The 24,791-nt window shown below is 38.9% G+C and overlaps 1 pseudogene, 2 gene segments (V, D, J or C) and 1 further gene, besides 8 other annotated features; all 4 read right to left on the bottom strand.

The window, feature by feature from the left end:
- The window catches only part of TRB (T cell receptor beta locus), a 514,277-nt gene that overhangs the window by 134,942 nt on the left and 354,544 nt on the right, over positions 1-24,791 (bottom strand).
- Positions 6,562-6,762: a silencer, noted in NCBI's record as "peak6801 fragment used in MPRA reporter construct". NCBI's record gives its function as "represses an SCP1 promoter by STARR-seq MPRAs in K562 erythroleukemia cells {active_cell/tissue: K562}" and the evidence as "EXISTENCE:reporter gene assay evidence [ECO:0000049][PMID:32103011]".
- Positions 7,063-7,071: a recombination feature (RSS_nonamer).
- Positions 7,072-7,094: a recombination feature (RSS_spacer).
- Positions 7,095-7,101: a recombination feature (RSS_heptamer).
- TRBV25-1 (T cell receptor beta variable 25-1) lies at positions 7,102-7,569 on the bottom strand. The segment is given in 2 exon segments: positions 7,102-7,396; positions 7,521-7,569. Coding segments are annotated over 2 exon segments (344 nt in total), but the record flags the coding sequence as incomplete, so codon positions are not given.
- Positions 10,661-11,329, bottom strand: MTRNR2L6 (MT-RNR2 like 6 (pseudogene); annotated as a pseudogene).
- Positions 10,935-11,229: a silencer, noted in NCBI's record as "tiled region #11750; K562 Repressive non-DNase unmatched - State 22:ReprW". NCBI's record gives its function as "represses a minimal TATA promoter and a strong SV40 promoter by Sharpr-MPRA in K562 cells {active_cell/tissue: K562}" and the evidence as "EXISTENCE:reporter gene assay evidence [ECO:0000049][PMID:27701403]".
- Positions 21,094-21,102: a recombination feature (RSS_nonamer).
- Positions 21,103-21,125: a recombination feature (RSS_spacer).
- Positions 21,126-21,132: a recombination feature (RSS_heptamer).
- Positions 21,133-21,609, bottom strand: TRBV24-1 (T cell receptor beta variable 24-1). The segment is given in 2 exon segments: positions 21,133-21,428; positions 21,561-21,609. Coding segments are annotated over 2 exon segments (345 nt in total), but the record flags the coding sequence as incomplete, so codon positions are not given.

The following is a 24,791-nucleotide window of genomic DNA, read 5'->3' as shown; positions in this document are numbered from 1 at the left end:
GAAGTTTGTGGCCATTATTTTTTCTTTGTCTTTCTCTCACTTCTCTCTTTCTAAGACTCCAATTTTACATATATGGGTATGCTTGATGGTACTCACAAATCTCTAAGTTTAGTTACTTTTAGTATAGAAAGCATTTGCCTGTACAGCATTGTGGAGTAACTCCTGGGGCCTAACAACAGAGTCCCAAAGTACATAAAGTAAAAATGACAGAAATGAAACAAAAATAAACATACCAAAATTATAGTTGGTGACTTAAATCCTCCAGTCTGAAAAATTGACCACACCAACTAGACAGAAAGTAAATAAGGGTAAAAAGACCTGAAAAACACTACTAAACTATTTGACTTAATTGATGATTTTAGAACACACTATTCAGCAACAGCAGAATGTACACTTTTTCAAGTGCTCATAGAGTATTTCCCCATATAGATTATATGTTATATAATAACATACAGATAGGAGGATTAAAATAATTCAAAGTATATTCTCTCATCACAGAGGGATTTAATTAGAAATAAACAACAGAAAGAAGCTGGAAAAATCACAAATATTTGGAAATTAAACATCACACTCCTAAATAACTCATGGGCTTCAAAAGGAATTTCTAGAAAAATTATGCTTTTAACTAAAAAACTAAAAATATATCAATGTACATGGAATGCAGCCATGATTAGAGGGAAATGTATAACTTTAAATAACTGCATTAGGAAAACAACTACAAAAGTTTCCATCATAATCTAAACTTCTACCTGAAGACACTGGAAAAATAAGAGAAAAGTCAACCAAAAGTAAACATAAGGAAGAAATAACAAAGATCAAATTAGGCCGGGCGCAGTGGCTTGTGCCTGTAATCCCAGCACTTTGGGAGGCTGAGGCAGGCGGATCACGAGGTCAGGAGATAGAGACCATCCTGGCTAACACGGTGAAACCCCGTCTCTACTAAAAAAGAAAAAATACAAAAAATTAGCTGGGCGTGGTGGCGGGTGCCTGTAGTCCCAGCTACTCAGGAGGCTGAGGCAAGAGAATGGCGTGAACCTGGGAGACGGAGCTTGCAGTGTGCCGAGATAGCACCACTGCACTCCAGCTTGGGCGAAAGAGTAAGACTCCATCTCAAAAAAAAAAAAAAAAAAAAAAAGATCAAATTAAAAATCAATTCAATAGATAATAGAAAAATAATAGAGAAAATCAATGGAACTACAACTGTTTACTTGAAATGCTATAAAATTGATAACACTTTAGTCAGACTGAACAAGATAAAAAGCAAGAAAATAGAAATTGCAAAGTCAGGAGTGAAAATGAAGAATACAATTACTAACCCTATAGAAATATATGGAAATGTTATGAACAACACTATGTCAATGAATTTGACAACTTGGGTGAAGCAGACATATTCCTAGAAAGACATAAGAGTAACTCAAGAAAAAAAGCCACATGTCTGGATAGACATATTACAAGTAAAGAAGTATTTTAGTAAATAACACCATATAGAGCAGAGGTCAGCAAAATTTTTCAGTAAGGAGCTAGATAGTAAATATTTTGGGCCATATGCAACCTCTGTCAGTTCTTTTTCTCCTATTCCTCCTCTTCCGTCTTCTAACACTTTAAAAGTATAAAATTTATTCTTAGTTTATGAGTAATACAAATATAGGCCATAGCTTGACTTTAACATGTGAGCAATAGTTTGTCACTCCATGTCACAGAGACAAGCTCAGGACTAGCTGACTTTACTGGTAAATTCCATCAAATATTTAAATAATACCACTCCTACAAGAAAAAACTTCCACAAAATAAAGAATAAGAGATTATTCCTAAATTCATCCAAGTTCAGTCCACAATTTCCTAATTCAGCCTAACAGGTCAGAATTACTTTGATTCTAAATAAAAAGAAATCACAAGAAAACTACAAACTAGTATGTCTATGGTCTCCATAAAATATTAGCAAACCTCATTTAGCCATATATGAAAAGATTATATACTATGACCAAGTGGGATTTATCCCGCCAATGCAAGATTGCCTTGACATCCAAAATCAACTAATGTAATATACCATATTAATAGAATAAAAACATATCAGATTATTATCTCAATGTGTGCAATAAAATAAATTTGACAAAATAACCTGTACCCAATCATAATAAAATCTCAACAAATTATGAACAGATTGAACTCTCTCATCCTGACTAACAGCATGAAAGAAATAAACACTCACCTTAAACATGAAAGCTTGAAGAGATTGAATGCTTTGCCTATAATATTGGTAGCAAAGTAACAATGTCTGTTTTCACTACTTTTATTCAACATTGCACTGGAGATGTCAGACAGTACAGTCAGATAAGAAATTGCAATAAAAGGTATCCAGGTTGGAAAGGAAAAAGTAAAATTCTTTTTAATCTCAGACTACATGATCCTGTATGTAAAAAAAAAAAAAAAAAAAAACTCCTATGAAATCTACAAAGAAACTTCTAGAACAAATCCATTTAGCAAGATTTCAGGATACAGTATGTATAGCAAAAATCATATGTGTTCTAATACTAGTAATAATCCAAAACTGAAATTAAGAAAAATAGTTTTATACTTACATTATAGAAAATAGCACTTTGCAATATATTAAACAACAGAAATGTAAGATCTATACATGGAAAAAATATAAAGTGTTGAGATAAATTTTAAAAGATCTAGAGGAATGGAAAAAGCATTCCGTGATCATGGAAGACTCAGTATTGTTAAGATAGAAATTATCTCCAAATTTATCAATAAGTACACAGCAATCCTTCTCAAAATTCTAGTAGTACCTTTTGTAGAGATTGACTAGCTGATCCTAAACCTATATGGTGATACACAGGACTTGAATAGTCAAGGCAATTTTGAAAAAGAAAAACACAGTTAAAAGACTTACACTAGCCAATTTAAAAACATACGATAAAGCTGTAATAATCAACAGAGTGTGGTATTAACATAAGATCAACAAAGATCAGAAATAAACCCATCCACTATGGTTAACTCATTTTTGAATATGGTGTAAAGTCAGTTTAATGATGAAATAATATTTTCAACAGATAGTACAGAAATTACACTATGCAAAAATACTAATACTATTAATAATGATCTTGGATCATTACCTCACACCATACCCCAAAATTAACTCAGAACATGGTGTACACCAAATATAAGAGCAAAAACTATGAAACTTCTTTTTTTTTTTTTTTTTTGAGACAGAGTCTTGCTCTGTCACCCAGGCTGGAGTGCAGTGGCACCATCTGGGCTCACTACAAGCTCCGCCTGCCAGGTTCACACCATTCTCCTGCCTCAGCCTTCCCAGTAGCTGGGACTACAGGCACCCGCCACCACGCCGGGCTAATTTTTGTGGTATCTTTAGTAGAGACAGGGTTTCACCATGTTAGCCAGGATGGTCTCGATCTCCTGACCTTGTGATTCACCCTCCTCAGCCTCCCAAAGTGCTGGGATTACAGGCTTGAGCCACCACACCCAGCCAAAAGACTATGAAACTTCTAGAAGAAGACAGAAAAAAAATTATGACTTTGGCTTAGTTATTTCTTAGAAGTAACAGGAAAAGCATAATTCAAAAAAGATAAATTGAAAAATTGGACCTCATCAAAATAAAAAATGGTTTATCTTCAAAGTCACCTGTTAAGAAAATGAGAAGACAAATCACAGAGCAGGAAAAAAAGTTTTGAAAGTCATACGTCTGATAAGGGACAGTTAAAACTCAGTAAATAAAAAGACAAACCATCCAATTAAAATGAGTAAAGGATTTGAATAGGTACGTCATCAGAGGTCATATAGGAATAACCAATAAGCAAACAAAAAGATGCTCAATATCATTAGTTATTAGAGAAACAAAATTTAAAAACCACAGTGAGATGACACTACACATTTTCCAGAATCATGATTATTAAAAAAGACCAAGAGTTGGAGAGGATGTGAAAAAACTGGAACCTCACACATTGATGACAGAAATGTAAAATGAAATAGCCAATTCTGAAAACATTTTACAAGTTTTGTTTTTGTTTTTAATTTATTATACCCTTACCCTATGACTCAGTAATTCCACTTCTAGATACCTTGCAAATAAAAGTTTATAACTTCACAAATATTTATTTATTTTTATTTTATTATTATACTTTAAGTTCTAGGGTACATATGCACAACATGCAAGTTTATTACATATGTATACATGTGCCATGTTGGTTTTCTGCACCCATTAACTCATCATTTACATTAGGTATTTCTCTTAATGCTATCCCTCCCCACTCCCCCCACCCCACGACAGGCCCCAGTGTGTGATGTTCCCCGCCCTGTGTCCAAGTGTTCTTATTGTTCAGTTCCCACCTATGAGTGAGAACATATGGTGTTTGGTTTTCTGTCCTTGTGATAGTTTGCTCAGAATGATGGTTTCCAGCTACATCCATGTCCCTACAAAGGACATGAACTCATCCTTTTTTATTGCTGCATAGTATTCCATGGTGTATCTGTGCCACATTTTCTTAATCCAGTCTATTATTGATGGACATTTGGGTTGGTTCCAAGTCTTTGCTATTGTAAATAGTGCTGCAATAAACATACGTGTGCATGTGTCTTTATAGTAGCATGATTTGTTATCCTTTGGGTATATACCCAGTAATGGGATCACTGGTTCACATGGTATTTCCAGTTCTAGATCCTTAAGGAATCGCCACACTGTCTTCCACAATTGTTGAACTAGTTTACATTCCCACCAACAATGTAAAATTGTTCCTATTTCTCCACATCCTCTCCAGCATCTGTTGTTTCCTGACTTTTTAATGATTGCCATTCTAACTGGTGTGAGATGATATCTCATTGTGGTTTTGATTTGCATTTCTCTGATGACCAGTGATGATGAGCATTTTTTCATGTGTCTGTTGGCTGCATAAATGTCTTCTTTTGAGAAGTGTCTGCTTTTCACTTCTTTTGAGAACTGAAGCAGATGAAGACTTCTTGTGTTAGCATAGTGATTAATGAGATGCTGGAGTAGGAGTCAGCCCTGTAGACAAGAAGTGCAGACTTCAGAGATAGAGGGACAGTGGGTACAGGGTCTCAGATGGGTAAGAGAACATGGACTATAGAAAATGGTCAGAAGTTCAGGATTGCCAGGATGAAAAATAGCTAGGATAAGGTGTTCAAGATAAGCTAATTTCTGGAGTCCAGATCACAAAATACCATTAAGCCAGGTGAAGAAATTTAAATTTTATCTTGAATATGAGGGAGAAGCATGGAGAAATGGTGAAGGGATCCAGTAGCATGATCATATTTGTCTACAGTTATCCCTCAGTGTCTTGGTGAATTGGTTCCAAGACCTCCCAAGGATAACAAAATCTACAAATGCCCAAGTCCCTGATAAAAAATGGTTTAGTATTTACATATAATCTATGCATATACTCCCATATACTTTAAGTCATCTGTAAATAATTCATAGTACCAAATACAATGCAATGTTATGTAAATAGTTGTTATACTGTATTGTTTAGAATAGTGACAACGAAAAAAGTCTGTATGTGTTCAGTATAGACACGATTTTTGAAAAAAATATTTTTGATCTGTGGTTGGTTGAATCCAGGGATGTGGAACTCATGAATACAGAGGGCCAACTCTCTGATGCATATCACTTTTGCAAGAAGGCCAGAAGGGTAAGGCACGAGGCTAAGAGTTCAGTAAGGAGGGTTGTTAATCTTCTAGGTGTTTGCTAAGGACACCTGACCATTGGAGATGAGCCTCCCAAGATGATGGTGTCTCCAAAAGAGGATATGCTATTGGGAGGATGATGAACTCTGTTGGGGACAAGCTGAGTTGAGGAGCCTATGAAATATAGAGGTGGAAATATCTAGTAGGCAGCTAGAGAATAAGTTTGAAACTAATGAGACATATGCTTCAAGAAATAGATTGGATGATATTGTCTAAGATGTATGTATAGGTTAAGAGGAAAAGAACAAAAAGTCCAGAAATAAGGTCAAAATAAGGAAAATGAGAATAGAAAGAGCCTACAAAGAAGAGTGAGGAATGGCTAGTATCGTAGAAAACAAACAGAAAAGAAGAATGAACAAGAAATGACTTTTATAATAAAATATGTATGATGTTTTCTAGATTCTTTTCTAACATATTAAAGCTACTTTTTAAGGAGGCAAAACCAGGACAGAGACTCTGTGACTTTACTTTTTGGTAACCTCAAAACAGAGATTTCACATCTGAGCTCAGCACCCAGGGCCCCACAGCAGTCTATACTTCTGTGAAAAATAAATCTATTCAGGGTCCCAGGTCTGATCTCATGTGGATAGAGAACACTTCCCTGAGATTCAGCATATCCAAGACAGAAGAATCACCTAGCCGTGGGATAGTCTTCCAATGCTAAGGGTAGTCTCCAAAGAGATTTAGGGCTGAATCCAGGGACATTGTTAAAGACTATTCTTTGCCAAAGTTGGAGCCTTTTCTTTTCCTTAGGCCTCATGCAGATATAGCTAAAATTACATTTATTTAGAGGGATATTAGTGAAAATAATCATTAATCACTTATTTCAAGTGAAAATAAAATTTTATTCTAAGTTCAAAGTCATAGATTGAGGAACTGAAGCCGTCAGGTGCAGGACTGGGGTCAGGAAAGGGCAGGGACTTTGTGTGGCTGTGTATGAAGGAACAAGTTTAACATGAGGAAGAAACCATGAACCAGAGATAAAGACAGCCTGTGTAGAAAGTCAAAGGATCCTTTTCCTGTTTCTTAGCTGACAAAGACTTTCTTCAGCTAGCCATAAGGTAACTGTCAAATATTATCGCATTTATCTTGAAGGATAAAATTTGTGCAAGCTCAATTGAACAACAACAACTAGATGCAAGGAAAAAGTCAGCTAGGATGACTGTGGGGCTGGGTCATTTCTCAGCTTGTTAGAGACTGAGCCAGAGATAGTCTTTAGTCCAGACTGTTACTTAAAGCACACTGGTCCCTCAAGGCTGAGGAGTCTGGGAAGATTTGTAGGGGTTTCTGTAGTTTAAGATGAGGTTTCTGGAGGCAAGATGTCCTCACATTAGAGGCGACCCTTTCTGTGCGGAGTGTCGGTATCCATGTAGCACTGTGTATTCACTGCTGGCACAGAGGTACTGAGAGGTATGTGAGGGCCTGGCAGACTCCAGGGTCAGGGGAAAATGCTCCGTCCTTATTCTGGAGACTGTTGACTCAGAGGAAAGATCTCCCTTCTCTGTGGAATTAACTCCATAGGAATAGTGGATGAGGTGTAGTTCCATTCCTGGATCTTGTTGATACCAGTACATTTTGTCATGGCCCATGGTTTGAGAACATTCCAGAGTGATCTTCTTTCCTGTCCCTATAACAAGGTATCTTGGGGTCTGGTAGATGTCAGCTTCCATGAGGCCTATGGGAAGAGACAAAAATTGGTAACAGAGTTCACGATGGACTTTGATGCTGAGCCAGGCACAAACCCAACACAGAGGAATTATTCCTTCTAGATTTTGGAATGAACTGTGTCTATGACTTACCTGCCCCCAGAAAATAAAAGCCCACGTAGCAGAGGAGCCTGATAGTCATGGCACAGTTGGGGCTAGAGAGGATGTCTCCCAGTAGTGGGGAAGCAGGATGGGCTCTTGATAATGTCATTGTGTGTGTGTGATGACACAGCCCCTGCAAACTTCCTGGGTCCCACAGCCATCCTGTTGAAACAGTTTCATCTATATCCTTTTAACCCATCAAATGAGTAATATTTTTGTTGACTTCCCTCATCCAAAGTAGGCTTGATGCTTTGCTTATCTTAACTCAAGTCTTTAATATTCTTACAAAACATTCCATTGCAACTGTTTTGTAAGCTATGAACATAAAAACTACATAGCTTTGAGTGCCTGTAATAGCAAGATTTTACCTAATTAAAAAGGTTGGGAAAGGAAGTGGCATTTGAGTTGGGTTCTGAAGGATGAACAGGAATGAACTCTGCAAACCCAAGAGAGAAGAACATGCAGAAGAGGGAACCAGTGAACAGCGTGGCTTGATCAGACAAGGAGCAGGAGAACTTGTGAGCATTAAACGGGGCAATCTATTTATATAGACACATGTAAAGAGCTTGGAGCAGTAACTGGAATTCACTGAGTCCTCAGAATGGTGTTATTATTGTGTGATAATAACTTTCTCAGTCTCATTTTTCACTGACTTGGTGTTCAGGCTTTATCAGCTTTATCAACTTAGCCTTTGCCTAGGATGATTTTAGTCCATCTGCCTTTAATTGCACTATCAATCATGACAGAACAGAAAATATAATCCAATACATGCTTTGGTAATACTGCTACAAATGGTTTGGGTGCTGCTGCAGTAAACAATGTCTAAACCAAGTGCCATTCTCCCTCCGCCCTTTCCCCCATTTCTTCTTAACAGAAAAGTCTTTGGTTTTGATTGTGAGATACAAAGATTAATCCCAGAATTTCTCCCAGTGTTGTCCACTTCCTTTGCCCTAGTTCACTAAGATCTACAGTTGGTATTTACTAAAATTTTTGTTCACATGATGCTGACATAGGCTTTGGGTTTTTACTATTATATCTCTACTATTTGAACACCATGTCTTCAAGTCTGTATGTATTTACATGTAACACATGTGGGCCCCTGCTTACTCTTCCTCTGTCATGTGTCACGAAGGAATATAACAGTTTTGATTTACCAAACCCTGAAATACTCTTGTCCTATCAGGGGCTCCTTTAAGACAAAAGTAACCATTAAAATCATTAATGAGATTTGGCCTTAGACTTTACTATGAAATCTGGTCTTAATAGTAAGTGCTGAGAACAGAAAAAATAAATTGAATTTTACTGCCCCCTGCTGAAAAAAAGGTGTTAGAGGTTTGGGGAGATTCTGACAAATGTTAAAGAAACAGGAAAACGGGAGGCTCCCAGTTGTTCTCAGTGTGAGATGACTGAAGGATGAGTGATGAGTTGATGAAAGTCTTCAGCAGTGACTGGATGTAAAATCTATACCTCACAGTAGAAGCAACTAAAGAAAGGAAAGAAAAGAAGTGCTCAACCTGGGCTTGGAAGTAGATATGAGAGAGTCTCAGGTCCTAGTCAAATGAAGGGGTACTCGAAGGCAGAGGTAACTACCCACTCCTTGCTGCCCAGTGCAGGAATAACTCACACATAGCTTGTCTTTTATTGATGAAAACACTTTCCCCAAAGACTACCTTTCTTGTTTAGTTAGGGAAGTCCTCTGGAGAAGGTGCTGGGAATTGCTAAGTGTGAATAATTACAGAGACAGACATTATTATATATAATTTTTGTATATATCTCTACACATTTTTGTTCTAGTAAAACCCCCTTTCTCAATGGAGGTTTCTTGATTTTCAGGATTTTGTAGTCCTTCCAGTGTCCATGAAGTTTGCATAGGGAAGAGATACCAAGAAAGACAAGAGACAAAATGCAATCTTAATATTCAGCCAGGAGGGAAAGATCTGGAACCAGAATGTGGCAATGCTAAATTAAGACTTCATATTATGGCAAAGGACTCACCTGTCTTCAGGCGAGGCAGAAGGGAGAAAGGCTGAGGGTTCTGGTTTCCCAAACAGTGATAAACATCTCCTAGCTCAGGGCTCTGCACCACATGGAAGTAGGATTACCTCTGAGGTTTCATTTCCCATTGCCAAGAATAGCCTGTACCATCACGGTTCCTGTTTTCACAGAATAGAGTTTGATTCCAGAGAATCACGGACACTGACTATAGGGCATGTGTGTTGAGCTTTTATGCAGTGTCTTATGTCAGAATCCCACAGCAAGGGCTTTTTATGAGCTTCAGCACCATGTTCTCAACCCAGTGGTCCCTCGGTATTCATGGGGGATTAGTTTAAATCCACTGATGCTTAAATCTCTTATATAAAATGGCACAGTATTTGCATATAACCTAGGCACATCCTCCTGTATACTTTAAATCAACTCTAGATTACTTATAATAGCTAATACAATGTAAATGCCATGCAAATAGTTGGTATACCTCAGTGTTTTAGATTTTGTATTTTTTTTGTTGTGTTGTTATTTTGTAATTTTTAAAATATATTTTTCATCTGAGGTTGACTAAATCTGCAAATGAGGACCCCATTGATACAGAGTGCCAACTGTGTACTCTACCAGCATTCGGAAGTTCCAAAGGCCCTCAAATACAGCATGCATAATTCATTCCCCTCCTTCCTTCTAACTCTGCTTCTTTGCCTGTAATACTAAAACTAGGACTCCAGGCATAAACTTAACTTATTAAATATTCTAATTAGACTCAAATATATGAGTATATAAATTTGTGTTAACAATTAAAACAACAAATATTTCATATATTTTCATATATTTGCATCCTCCTTTGCATGTCTTCTTTCTCAGAACTCAGATTCCATTAAGAAAAACAGCTTTGATTTCCCCGAACGTTCTCCCATGTATGTTTGGGATTATGTCACTTCACCCTAGTTCTCAATCAATTATGTATTACCATCAGATATTAATATCAGATAATAATTGTTACATAAGTCTCTATACATTTTTTGTCCAGTAAAACTCCCTCTCTCATTTCCAGCCTTCTCTTAACCAAACATATTTTCTTTGTTTTAAAAAGACTTATAGATGGGAGGTGTGGAGGACTTAAATACACATGTACCAGACCTGGCTTGCTCCGGTCTGAACTCAGACCACGTAGGACTTTAATCATTGAACAAATGAACCCTTGATAGCAGCTACACCATTAGGATGTCCTGATCCAACATCGAGGTCGTAAACCCTATTGTCAATATGGACTCTAGAATAGGATTGCGCTGTTATCCCTAGGGTAACTTGTTCCGTTGATCAAATTATTGGGTCAATATATGTATAGTAATTCGCTTAAACTTGTTTAGTCTTAGCATAGGTTGCTCGGAGGTTAAATTATGCTCCGAGGTCACCCCAACCAAAATATTTAATGCAGGGACAGTAGTTTAAGGCCTGTGGGCTTATCTGAGCTTTGTTTGCATTAATAAATTAAAGCTCCATAGGATCTTCTCATCTTATTTATTCATGTTCGCCTCTTCACAGGCAGGTCAGTTTCACTGGTTGGAAGTAAGAGACAGCTGAACCCTCGTGGGGTCATTCATACAAGTCCCTATTTAAGGAACAAGTGATTATGCTACCTTTGCATGGTCAGGGTACTGTGGCCGTTGAACATATGTCACTGGCAGGTGGTGCCTCTAATACTAATAATGCTAGAGGTGATGTTTTTGGTAAACAGGCAGGGTAAAATTTGCCGAGTTCCTTTTAATTTTTTTTAACCTTTCCTTAGAGCATGCCTGTGTTGGATTAACAGTATCGGTAATAATAAATTTGTTGAGTTGTTTATTAATATTAGGCTGTTAATTTGTCAGTGGGTTATTCTGGTCTGATGTAGGCTTAAGCAGTGGAGAATATTTCATGTTACTTATATTAATATTATTGCATCTATAAAGTAATAGATTAGTCCAATGTGGTGTTAGGAGTTCAGTGGTGTGATTAGAATTTAGAGTGGTTGGATGTTGAGCTTGAACGCTTTCTTAATTGATGGCTGCTTTCGGGCCAACTATGGGGATAATGTTTTTTACTCTCTACATGAAGGTTGTTTCCTAATGTCTAAAGAGCTGTCCCTCTTTAGACTAACAGTTAAATTTACAGGGGGATTAAGTGGCTCTGTAGGTAAATTTAAAGTTGAACTAAGATTCTATCTTGGACAACCAGCTATCACTAGGCTCAGTAGGCTTATCACCACTACTCATGAATCTCCCCACTATTTTACTACATAGATGGGTGTGTTCTTTTAGCTGTTCTTGGGTAGCTCGTCTGGTTTTGGGGGCCTTGGCTTTGGTTCTCTGTGTAAAGTTATTTCTAGTTAATTCATTACGCAGAAGGTATAAGGGTCTATCCTTGCTATTTTATTCTTGGTTAACTTTTTCATCTTTACCTTGCAGTACTACGTCCACTGCGCCTGGGTAAAATTTCTTTCGCCTATACTTTTGTTTGGGTAAATGGTTTGATTAAGGTTATTCGGTAGTACTATTAGTTAAGTTTAGGGCTAGAGTTGGCACAAGGTGGTCAAATTATGGTGAAATCTGGGTGTAAGACAGATGCTTTGTGTTAAGCTACACCTTGGTTCATCCAAGTGCACTTTCCAGTACACTTACCATGTTACGACTTGTCTCCTCTATATAAATATGTAGGGATTTTAGTTAAACTAATCTCTAAAGTGATACTTGAGGAGGGTGATGGGCATTGTGTGTGTGCTTTATGGCCTCATCCAATTAAGCACTCTGCTCTTAATATACTGCTGAATCCTCCTTGAGCCCTTAGATTTCATAAGGGTTGTGAGATTTTCTGGGTGTAGAAAATGTAGCCCATTTCTTACCGCCTCATGGGCTACACCTTGACCTAATGTTTTTATGTAGATACTTGTGCTTACTTTGTGACTTTTACTAGGGTTTGCTGAAGATGATGGTATATAGGCTGAGCAAGAAGTGGTGAGGTAAATTGGGGTTTATCCATTATAGAACAGGCTCCTCTAGAGGGATATAAAGCACTGCCAAGTCCTTTGAGTTTTAAGCTATTGCTTGTAGTGTTCTGGGGAATAGTTTTGTTGATTTAACTATTGGAGTTTAGGGCTAAGCCTAGTGGGGTATCTAATCCCAGTTTGGGTCTTAGCTATTGTGTCTTCAGAAGTATTAAAGCCTCCTTCATAGTTTATTTTATTTCAGCCCGGGTTTTATACAACTGAGATGAAGCTTAGCTTTATTAAGGATAGACCTAAAACACTCTTTATGCTGAGTTCTATTAGCTCAGGTTAATTGTATGGCTGCGGTGGCTGGCATGAAATTAACCAACCCTGGATATTAGTATAGTTTAGTTAAACTTTTGTTTATTGCTAAAGGTCTATCACTGTTGTTTCCCGTGGAAGTTTGGCTGAGCAACGTGTTTTGAGCTGCATTTGTGCGTGCCTGATACTTACTCCTTTTGATCAAGGTGATTTAGATGTACTTTCACTGGGATGGGGATGCTTGCATGTGTAATCTTACTAAGAGTTAATAGAAAGGCCAGGACCAAGACTGTCTGTTTATGGGGCTGTATAAGCCCATCTAGACATTTTCAGTGTCTTGCTTTAAATAATTAAGCTACATTAACTGTATATATGTTAAGTGCAAAATTGGAGTATAGAAGAAGATACAGGCAATATGCACAGTTGTAGGGTTCAGGGATTTAAAGTTGAGTTAGCAGGAGTTGGTGGAGTAGATTTTAGTACTCGCGAGTGGTTGGTGTAGTACAAGGTGACAGATGATGCCTTTCGGGGTGTGTAAATTTAGGATATGGGCTTAGTAATGGATGGGCGTGCGTGTTAGATATAATTGTTGTAAAAGTAGAATTAGATTGGTGAGGGGTTAGTTTCCTAAAAAAATTTGCATTAGTTGAGGGGTAGCTGTTGGGGATACCCAAAGCTAAAATACAAATATTTTGGGCTCTGGCAGAGTTGAATTAAGGCTTACTTGTTTTTGAAGTTTGGCAAGGTGTCTTTTTTCCTGGGTTGATGAAGTCAGAGATGGGGCAGGGGAGTGTTGCAGATTTTCATTTTAAAAGTCCAATAAGGGGAGCGGTTGTATGTGTTTGTCTGTTAATTACTGTTATGTCCTTCAAGCATGAATTAATTAGCACCTTAGGGTAGTTATGCCCTGTCGGAATATTGAATTTAGGCACAATTAATATAGGTGATTGGTAGGAATCAAAGACAGGTCCGGCTGCAGGTGATGGGGAGGGGACCAGGCCTTCTGTGATGTGATAGCATACCCGAAAGTTAAAATACCAAATGCACGGCAGTGCTCCCATGACTGATTAATAGGGTGATAGTCACTGGTCCATCGAGATGTCTACTTTTAACTAAAGAATATATATAGCCTTGTGAAGAGCCAGTATAAAAAGAAAACCAGCACAAGACAAAGATACCCTCTTTCGCCACTCCTATTCAACATAGTACTGGGAGTCCTGGTCAGGGCAATCAGGCAGAAGGAAGAAATAGACATCCAAATAGGAAGAGAGAAAGTCAAACTATCCCTATTTGCAGATGACATGATTCTATATCTAGAAAACCCCATAGTCTCTGCCCAAAAGCTGCTTGATCTGATAAACAACTTCAGCAGTTTTAAAATACAAAATCAACATTAAAAAGTGGCATTCCAATACACTAAAAACATACAAGCTAAGAGCCAAATCAGGAATATGATTCCATTCATAATTGCCACACACAACAAATACCTAGGAATACAGCTAACCAGAGAAGTGAAAGGTCTCTACAACAGGAATTACAAAACACTGCTCAAAGAAATCAGAGATGACAAAAACAAATAGAAAAACATTCTATGCACATGGATAGGAAGAATCAATATCATTAAAATGGCCTTACTGGCCAAAGCAATGTAGATTCGATGGTATTAAGTTGGCGCAAAAGTAATTGTAGTTTTGGTGAATTTTAAATCATAACTAGGCTCAAGCACATCTTTATTAATCAAAATAGGAACCATTACAATCAACACATTTTTTGCCAATGAGAAATAAGTTTGTTTATTCTTGTAGCATAAAAATCTATGCTTTGGAATTCAGTGAACTCTTGGAAAGCATTTTCTGCATCTTGCTGGCTGTGGAAGCATTTTCCCTGCAAAAAGTTGACAAGATGCTTGAAGAAGTGGTAGTTGGTTGATGAGAGGTCAGGTGAATATGGCAGATGAGGCAAAAGTTTGTAGCCCAATTTATTCAACTTTTGAAGCATTGGTTGTGCAACCTGCGGTCAGATGTTGTTGTGGACAAGAATTGGGCCCTTTCTGTTGACCAATGCCAGGTGCAGGCATTGCAGTTTTTGGTGCATCTCATCAATTTGCTGAAGATACTTCTCAGATGTAATGGTTTTGCCAGGATTCAGAAAGCTGTGGTGGATCACACTGGCAGCAGACCACCAGACAGTGACCACGTGTAGGGTCCAGACCCACAGGGTTGGTGGGTTTTCTCCTCGTGTGCAGAGATGAGAGAGCATAGAAATAAAGACACAAGACAAAGAGATAAAAGAAAAGACAGCTGGGCCCGGGGAACCACTACCACCAAGACACAGAGACCAGTAGTGGCCCCGAATGCCAGGCTGCGCTGATATTTATTGGATACAAGACAAAGGGGCAGGATAGGGCATGTGAGCCTTCTCCAATGATAGGTAAGGCCACATGGGTCATGTGTCCACTGGACAGGGGGCCCTTTCCTGCCTGGCAGCCGAGGCAGAGAGAGAGAGGAGAAAGAGAAACAGCTTACACTATTATTCTGCTTATCAGAGACTTTTAGTACTTTCACTAATTTGCTACTGCTAACTAAACGGCAGAGCCAGGTGTACAAGATGGAACATGAAGGTGGACTAGGAGCGTGACCACTGAAGCACAGCATCACAGGGAGACGGTTAGGCCTCCGGATAACCGCGGGCGGGCCTGAATGATGTCAGGCCTTCCACAAGAGGTGGAGGAGTACAGTCTTCTCTAAACTCCCCCAGGGAAAGGGAGACTCCTTTTCCCGGTCCGCTAAGTAGCAGGTGTTTTTCCTTGACGCTAACACTACCGCTAGACCAAGGAGCCCTCTGATGGACCTGTCCGGGCATAACAGAAGGCTCGCACTCTTTTCTGGTTGCTTCTCGCTATGTCTCCTCAGCTCCTAACTCTGTATACCCTGGTTTTTCCTAGGTTATGATTATAGAGCGAGGATTATTATAATATTGGAATAAAGAGTAATTGCTACAAACTAATGATTAATGATATTCATATATAATCATATCTAAGATCTATATCTGGTATAACTATTCTTATTTTATATTTTATTATACTGGAGCAGCTCGTGTCCTCGGTCTCTTGCCTCGGCACCTGGGAGGCTTGCCGCCCACAACTATGACCTTTTTTTGGTGCAAGTTTGGCTTTGGGAAGTGCTTTGGAGCTTCTCGGGCCAACCATTGAGATGATTGTTGGCAGTTGTCATATAAAATCCACTTTTCATTCCATGTCACAATCTGATCAAGAAATGGTTCGTTGTTATTGCATAGAATAAGAGATGACACTTTAAAATGACAATTTAAAAAAAGTTTTGCTCACTTTATGAGGCACCCACTTATCGAGTTTTTCACCTTTCCAATTTGTTTCAAATGCTGAACAACTGTAGAGTGGTCAACCTCGAGTTCTTTAACAACTTCTCGCCTAGTTGTAAGAGGATCGGTTTTGATGATTGCTCTCAACTGGTGATTGTCAACTTCTGATCACCTGCCACTATACTCTGCATCTTCAGGGCTCTCATCTCCTTTGAAAAACTTCTGGAACCAACACTGCACTGTATGTATGTTCATTAGCAGTTCCTGGGCCAGATGCGTTGCTGATGTTGCGGGTTATCTCTGCCACTTTATGACTCAGTTTGAACTTGAATAAGAAAATCACTCAAATCTGCTTTTTGTCTAACACCATGTGGATAGTCTAAAATAAATACCAAATAAGTAGCAAGTAATAAGTAATTAGCAAAAAAATAAAGTGAGAATGTTCATTAAAATGATGTATAACATAACCACATTTACTTAAGAATGTATTTCAATACCAAATGGCAAATTCCAACAATGCAAAAACTGCAAATACATTTGCACCAACCTAATATTCCTATCAAACTACTAATGACGTTTTTCACAGAATTAGAAAAAACAGTATTTTAAAATTCATGTGGAACCAAAAAGCCCAAATAGCCAAGGCAATCCTAAGTCAAAAGAACAAGGGCTAGAGGCATCATGTTACCAACTTTAACCTACACTGCAAGGGTACAGTAACTAAAACAGCATGGTGTACTGTACAAAAACAGATATAGACCAATGGGATAGAATAGAGAGCCAGGAAATAATGCCACATACCTACAGCCATCTGGTCTTTGACAAAGCTGACTAGAACAAGCAACGGGGAAAGAACTCCTTATTCAACACATGGTGCTGGGGATAACTGGCTAGCCATATGCCAAAGATTGAACTAGATCCCTTCCTTATACCATATAGAAAAATCAACCCAAGATGGATTAAAGACTTAAATATAAACCTAAAGCTATAAAGCCCCTGGAAGATAACCTAGGAAATATTATACCATCCTAATCATATGACTTGGCAAAGATTTCATGATGAAGATACCAAAAGCAATTTCAAAAAAATCAAAAATTGACAAATGAGACCTAATTAAAGAGCTTCTGCACAGCAAAGGAAACTATCAACAGAGTAAATAGACAAACTACAGAATGGGAGAAAATATTTGCAGACTATATATGCATCAAAGGTCTAATATCCAGATTCTATAAGGAACTTAAACTTACAAGCAGAAAACAGATAACCCCATTAAAAAGTGGGCAAAGGGCATGAACAGACACTTTTCAGCAAAAGGTATACATGTGATCAACACACATATGAAAAAATGCTCAACATCACTAATCATTAGAGAAATGCAAATCAAAACTACAATGAGATACCATCTCACACCAGGCAGAATGGTTATTATCAGAAGTCAAAAAATAACAGATCCTTACAAGGCTGCTGAGAAAAGGGATTGCTTATATGCTGCTGGTGAGAGTGTAAATTAGTTCAGCCATCATGGAAAGCAGTATGGTGATTCCTCAAAGAACTGAAAACAGAACTTCCATTTGACCCAGCAGTCCCATTATTGTGCATATACCCAAAAGAGTAGAAATCATTCTATCATAAAGACACATGCACACAGATGTTCATTGCAGCACTATTCACAATAGCAGACACATGGAATCAACCTAAAAGGCCGCCAACAGTAAGCTGGGTGAAGAAAATATAGTACATATACATCACGGAATACTATGCAGCCATAAAAAGAAAGAGATCAGCATCACAGTTTTGCATATAACTGTTTATTATAACAAACCTGTACATGTCCCCATGAACCCAAAATAAAAGTTAAAGAAGTATGAAGGGACATAACAACTATGATAACTTTGAAATGCATAAACTATCACACACAAGAGAAAAGCTGAATCTTTGTCTACAGACATTGGAAAAACTGTTATAGATAAGCTCATCTTTGATCTGAGAATTAAAGGATATGTGAGGATTAGCCAGGCACTCAAGATTTATTTCAAACAATAGATGTTGGTGAGGCTGCAGAAGAAAGGGAACACTTATACACTGTTAGTGGGAATGCAAACCAGTTCAGCCACTGTGTAAAGCAGTTTGGAGATTTCTCAAAGAACTTAAAATGGAGCTACCATTTGACCCAGCAATCCCGCTACTGGATATATACCCAAAGGGAAATAATTTATTCTGTCATAAGGACACATGTACCCATTATGTTCATTGCTGCACTATACACAATAGCAAGGACATTGAATCAACCTAAGCACCCATTAACAGTGAACTGGATAAAGAAAATGTGGTACATATACACCATGGAATACCATGCAGCCATAAAAGAACAAAATCATTCCCTTTATGCAACATGGATGGAGCTGGAGGACATTATCTTAAGCAATTAATGCAAGAACAGAAAATCAAATACTATATGTTAAGTGGGAGCTAAATGAATACACATGATTGTAAAGATAGAAACCATAGACACTGGGGCTCACTAGATGGGAGAAGGAGGGAGCAGGGCATGGGCTGAACAATCACCTGTTGGATTCTATGCTTATGTCCAGGGTGATGGGATTGTTGGGACCTGAAGTCTCAGCATCACGCAATTTACCCATGTGACAAACCTGCACAACATGTGCCCACTAATCTGTAATAAAAGTTGAAATTAAAAAATTAGTTTTGACAAAAAAGGAATAAAGAAGCTCATTTCAGATGAAGGAAAGAGCTTTGGCAAAGGTACACCTGTGCAATTCAGGCTGGTATATTCAGGGAAATATAAAAAGTTCAGTTCAGCTACAGTCTAAAGTGCTGGAGTGAATTCGGCCAATTTGGCCAGATGTTTAGTTGGAGAACCATTTCCGAAGGGCTTTGTGTGTTGTGTGAGGAATGTCATATGTGGTCATGCTGGTGGCAATGTGAGAAATAGGGTAAGGGAAAGGGGTAAGAAGCTAGTAAGCCAGGGAGAGGGCATTGCATTTATTTCTAGGCAATGAGTGATGAGGGTCTGCACTGAGGTAGAAGCAATGAGGAGGGAGAGGGGTAACTGAATCAGATAAATATGTGTATATTAGAAACTGTGATGCCGACATCTCTCTGTGAATGGTCTTGTTCTAAAGAGACACTTCCTCCCCATCAAATTCATGAGTGCTTCTCAGAGCAACTCACATATAATGACATGGTTACAAGGAAAGTGGGAATAAGACCTGCCATCTCACCTTGGGATGGCACTAAAGGACCATCCAGACTCAGAGCTCCCTGTGGGGTGAGTGAAGGACTTTGTTGAGGATACAGCAAAGCCCAACTTCTCCCTCTGCCCCATTTCCCTCTGCCCACGTGGACTGCAAGGGCAGTTTCCACAAACCTTCCCGCACACTAATTTTCCTCTCAAAATCTGCTTTTGGAGAACATAAACTATGACAATGTGTGATATACAAGTAATAGATTTAGAAACTGATTTAATATGAGGCATAGCAAAAATGAGGAACCTAGAAGGGCTGTTCCAATCACTGAGATAGAAATACAGTGTGTGGCCAAAATGGGCAAGTGCAAGGATGGAGAGGCAGTTTATTTCAGGGATAAACTGAGTTTGAATTGCCTATGGAGCATCCAGCTTCAAGTGTCCAGTAGATAGTTGAATTTGCCAGGCAGGAACCTATGAAAGAAGTTGTCATGACAATGAATGCGAAGGTTGAGGAAAGACATGTGTACTGAGGAAAAAGGAGGGCAGAAGGAAAAATCCTGGGGAAATCTATCAGAAATGTCCAGGAGACAATTAACTGGGACAGTTAACAGCTTGTAAGGGAAGAATTATTATTGCTGATAAGACTTGATGAGGTGTGCATAGAAAGCAGGAAACAAAACTCTGGAGAAACCTGTTTTTTAAATGGAAGCCAATGAGAAAGAATCCCTAAAAGTAACATGCTTTACACATGAGAACAGGTAGAAAAGGGAACAAGTTGGATTCTTCATTTCTGAACAGTCACCAAGTCCCATGGATTCGTTTGCTGAAATAATTGAGGCTTATGGGACAAGAAGACTAAATCCATGAGGAAGACATCAACTTGATTCTCAGGAAGACTTTTACGTCAAGCTCTGGCAGTCCTTGATCAATTATTTTTGTGCCTGGGCCTCACTGGCTCCTAAAAGAATCCCCACAGCAGGGGAACCAGGGAATTATTCTAGTGCCTGGAAACAAGGGGCACTTCCAAGCTCCTAGCTTTGACCTCATACTGGGGACAGGGAATTTTATTTTTTGAAATTCAGTACATCCAGATAATAATGCAAGTCTATCTGCACCTGCAGGTTAAAATGAATCTCAGCAGAGATCAAAGTGTGGGGTAGTAGATGAAAAATTACTTTTGTAAATCACAGTCTCTGTTACTTGAACTTTAACTTCTGAGTCAGATTTAATGACAATTAAATTTACTTACAGTGAAGTTTTAGAAAACAAGCTAGTTATTTTGTTTTTAGTAGAAAGGCAATCAATTATAGAGCTAAATGGTGGAGCTGAGCTTGGAAGAACTGGGGCAGAGAAAGGTTAGACAGGATAAAGGAGCTGTCAGTGGGAACAGAACAAAGTGTGGGATGTTGCAAAGTGGGTGGAAATAATGGCAAAAGGACTATAAAAACTGCATTGTATTCAGCTCATAAGAAATGCTCTTGTTGAAAATCATGAGCTTCTGTCAAATGCTCAAGTTCCTTCTCCTGAAAGGTCACCATTCGTCTAGCTCCCTAGGAAAAATAAATAGACAGGGGAGATTGATTCAGTGTAGCCTGTGCTTTCAGAGTCATCACATGGCTTGGGGACATTGATCCAAAGTGGCCCTTAGCTCACACTACCTAAGACCACTGAAAGCTCTAAACACCCCACATCCCACAACCCACATCCAGGTACCCTTCAGAGCAAACAACTCACCCATGTGTCTGTCTTTCTGTGTAGAGAGCAGGTGGCCAAGAAGCACTGTGCAAATCACTGGTGGCACAGAAGTAAAGAGCTGTCTGGTTGGGGATGGCAGACTCTAGGGACAGGGAGAATTTAGCCTGTGCCTGTCGAGAGACACTGTATCCATCAGAGATCTCTCCTTTGTTTATATCTTTGACATCAAAGGAGTAATAGATCAACTGTAGGCCCAGTCCTGGGTCTTGTCGATACCAGTACATTCTATCATGACCCTTAGTCTGAGAACATTCCAGCATAATCCTCTTTCCTGTCTTTGTGATCCTATTCCTTGGGGTCTGGGTAACATCAGCATCCATGGACCCTGTGGGAAATAAGACAGAAATTGAAGACAGAAACTGGTAAATATCCTCGTGCTGCAATCTCTGAGGATAGGCTTAATTCAGAACCTGGAAAATTTAAGGCAGTGATTTCCCCATCTGTGTTCCAAACTCACCTGTTCCCAGGAGATAAAAGGCCCCACAGAAGAAGAGCAGGGAGGCCATGGCATGAAGAGGCAGGATGGAGGTGTTTCCAGCTCTGGATGTTGAGGGAAGCAGGGCATGGAAATAGAAAACTGGGAGGATTCAGGAAGTGATGTCATTGTCCCTCCCAAGGTACTGGGTCTTAAAGAAAGATGCCATGTTGGCTTATGTATTATATGTTCTTAGCAGATGCTGAAATTCTTCTACTTGCTTCTCTTCTGTTTTTCTGGCGCTTTACTGGCAACCACCAGAGAGTTGTATCTCTCCCCTTTCTCAGGGCATATCCATTTCAGTTGTTCAAGGTGACATCATCCTCCTGATAAAACAGGCTGGAGAAAATTCAAAACCAAATTGAATTTCGAATAAAGGAAGTCTAGTCTCACTTGAATGATAGGACATTATAACTCTTCTCCTTTTTTTCTGCATTTAATCATTTATTCTAACTCAGTTCTTGGTAAACTATGCAATTTGAATACATTCTCTGTAAAGTTTGAGACTTTTTTGTTGTAAGAAGGACAGGATTCCTAACTTTGTTTCAAATTGCTCCTATTTTTTAGTGGCTCCTGCTTTTCTGGTCAATGTTTTCTGGGCACAGAGCTTTATTAAAAATATTGGCTTATTGTAGAAAGATGTTAGTTTAATGTGGGTATGTGCTTCAAAGAAGTACTTAACGCCTTCATTCCTATTTTGAATTAGCTGAAAATACAGTTGTTCATTAAAGAATTCATTTTATTCTAACACAAATTATTCCTGACTTTAGGAGGAAAGAGCTAATATTTAATGCAGCAGATTGCAAGTACAGAACAGTTATGGTGATAGTGTGAAACATTGTTCAATGTAATAAACAACTGGCTCTTTGCTGCTTCAGATCTGTGCTCGTCCTGGTGAAAAAGGAAGAGTTCCCTGACCCCCCTGGAAGGACGTGCGACAGGAGTGTTGCTCACCTTTTCAGTTGCTGCAACTGCTCAAACCCCTGAGGGGAAAGGGAACACACAGAGGGACAGATGCAGGAGCCCAAGTGGGCAGATAGTTCTGCCATCTGCACACGGCTTGAGTGTTAACCAGCTCAGTGGACCCTCTGCCTTTTTGCAAGGGCAGAGGGCCAGTGTGACAGCTTTCTGTGTCCCGAGCTCTTGCCCAGCGTCCTGGAAGAATTGGGTCACACATGGGCTTGAAGGATGAATGTGGGGTTTTATTGAGTGGTGGCAGTGGCTCTCAGTGGGATGGATGGGGAGCTGGAAGGGGGGATGGAGTGAGAAGATGATCTTCCCCTTGGAGTTTGGCCATCCAGGGACTGAACTCTTCTCTGACCACCTCCAGCTGAACTCCTCTCGGGTTTCAGACGTTCCTCCTCTTTTTCTCTGCCACGTTGTTCTGCCCTCCCTCTGCTTGTCTCCTAGCCTGCTTCTCTGCCTCTGAAGCCTGGGGTTTGGGGTTTATATGGGTAAAAGAAAGGGGGCATGGTGGGTCAAAAGACAACTTTTTGGGAATGAAAACAGGAATGCTTGTCCCCATTTACAGCTGCAGGTCTCCAGGCTTGAGGGTGGGGCCTTTGCTGGGAAACCACCCTCTTCTACCCAGTATTTCCGTCTCCTGTCCATATCACTGACCCTCCCTCATGCATGGATACACCATGGCATCCTACCCTAATCATTCCTGCTGCATGTCAAATTGGTAAAGTCTTATTTTTAGATATTTTTACTTTTAATTCTAAAAATTTCAAACATATACAAAGTAGGCTTAATAAACAATGAGCCTTCATGTCCTCACATGAGTCATCTTTGGTAATTACCAAGTCCTCATGGCCTCTCTTGTTCATCTACCTCCTCCTTCACCACTTCTGCCTCTCCTGTGTAATTTTGAATAGTTGTTGCTTTATTTAGGAGTACCCAAGCACATTTTACAGCCTTTGCCTACACTCCAGATGACATATTCCAGTGTCCCCTCCCTTCTTCTCTTTTTGGTTAGAGTTCTCCATTAGTAATATGAATGAAAATACGGATTTGTTCCAGTAAATTCCTTAGCCAGGCATCTGATGAATATAAACAAGACAATGATCATAAAAACTTTTATTTTGGCTTTGTCTTCAACGTAAAAAAAAAAAAATCATTGCCCTTATTTGCTATTCTTAAAGTAAACATGCTGTTTTGGTGCCCCCTGCTGTGGGCAGTAATTTGAGTGGAATTAATATTTGGGAGCTGAATATGAACTATTCTTGGTGATCACATTAGTTGAGAGAAGAGAGGACTCATATCCAGTGGTTGAGAGACCGTTTTCCCGGGCATTTCTGATAGAAGTTTGTAGGTGCAGAGCAAGGAAAGGAGAAGCAGAAATCATTCTGGGAGCAGAATCTATGCCCGAGGAGGAGTGAGTGAGCATTATCAGAGGAATGAATGGAGGAGACACACATTTGCACGGGAATGAAATTGAAAAAGGCATCCCAATTTCTGGACAAATGAGAGGGTTCTTCATGGCACAGGCCAATATATTCTGTACTCTGGGCTGGCTCACGCACCTCTCAAATCGTATTTATAATCCACTTTTGCTCTGACCTATACTCTACCACAAGCAAAACACAGACTTCTTGGTCTCACCCACAGACCATGTCCATCTGTTTGCTGTGCGTATGTACGTGATTCTAAGGACTGTTGAACCCCTCATTCCATGTGTGAGTTGTTGATCTGTATAACACACACCCTGTGGCATAAAAGGCTGCCAAAGGATAAATAATTTTCTTTCTTCACTACTGCTTAGAGTTTTTGGTGTCCTAAGAGAATTTTGCCCACTCTCAACGCACAAAGATGTTTTTCTATGTTTTATTCTAGAATATTTGTGGTTTCAGCTTTTATAATTACCTCTATGAAACATCTCAATTTAACTTTCATTTATAGTGGTAGGTGACAGTAAAGGTTCATTTTTTCCATATGATTATCCAGTTTTTCCAACATACCTGTTGAAAATTACCATCTTAATGCATTGAAACTTCCAATCCATAAACATGATATATCTCTCCATTTAAAAATATTTTCTTTAATTTCCATTTGTGGAGTTTTGTAGTTTTTAATTGAACATCTATTCTAAATTGTTCTTAAGTAATTTGTTATTGGCACTATTGTAAATAGTATTATTTTCTGAAGTTTGTGTTTCAATTGTTTTCAACTAGTAAAAAAAACTTGATTTTTAAAATACTGATGTATCCTGTG

Source organism: Homo sapiens, chromosome 7 (genome assembly GCF_000001405.40).
Source record: "Homo sapiens chromosome 7, GRCh38.p14 Primary Assembly".
NCBI lineage: Eukaryota > Metazoa > Chordata > Mammalia > Primates > Hominidae > Homo > Homo sapiens.
This window is presented reverse-complemented; position numbering and strand designations above follow the sequence as displayed.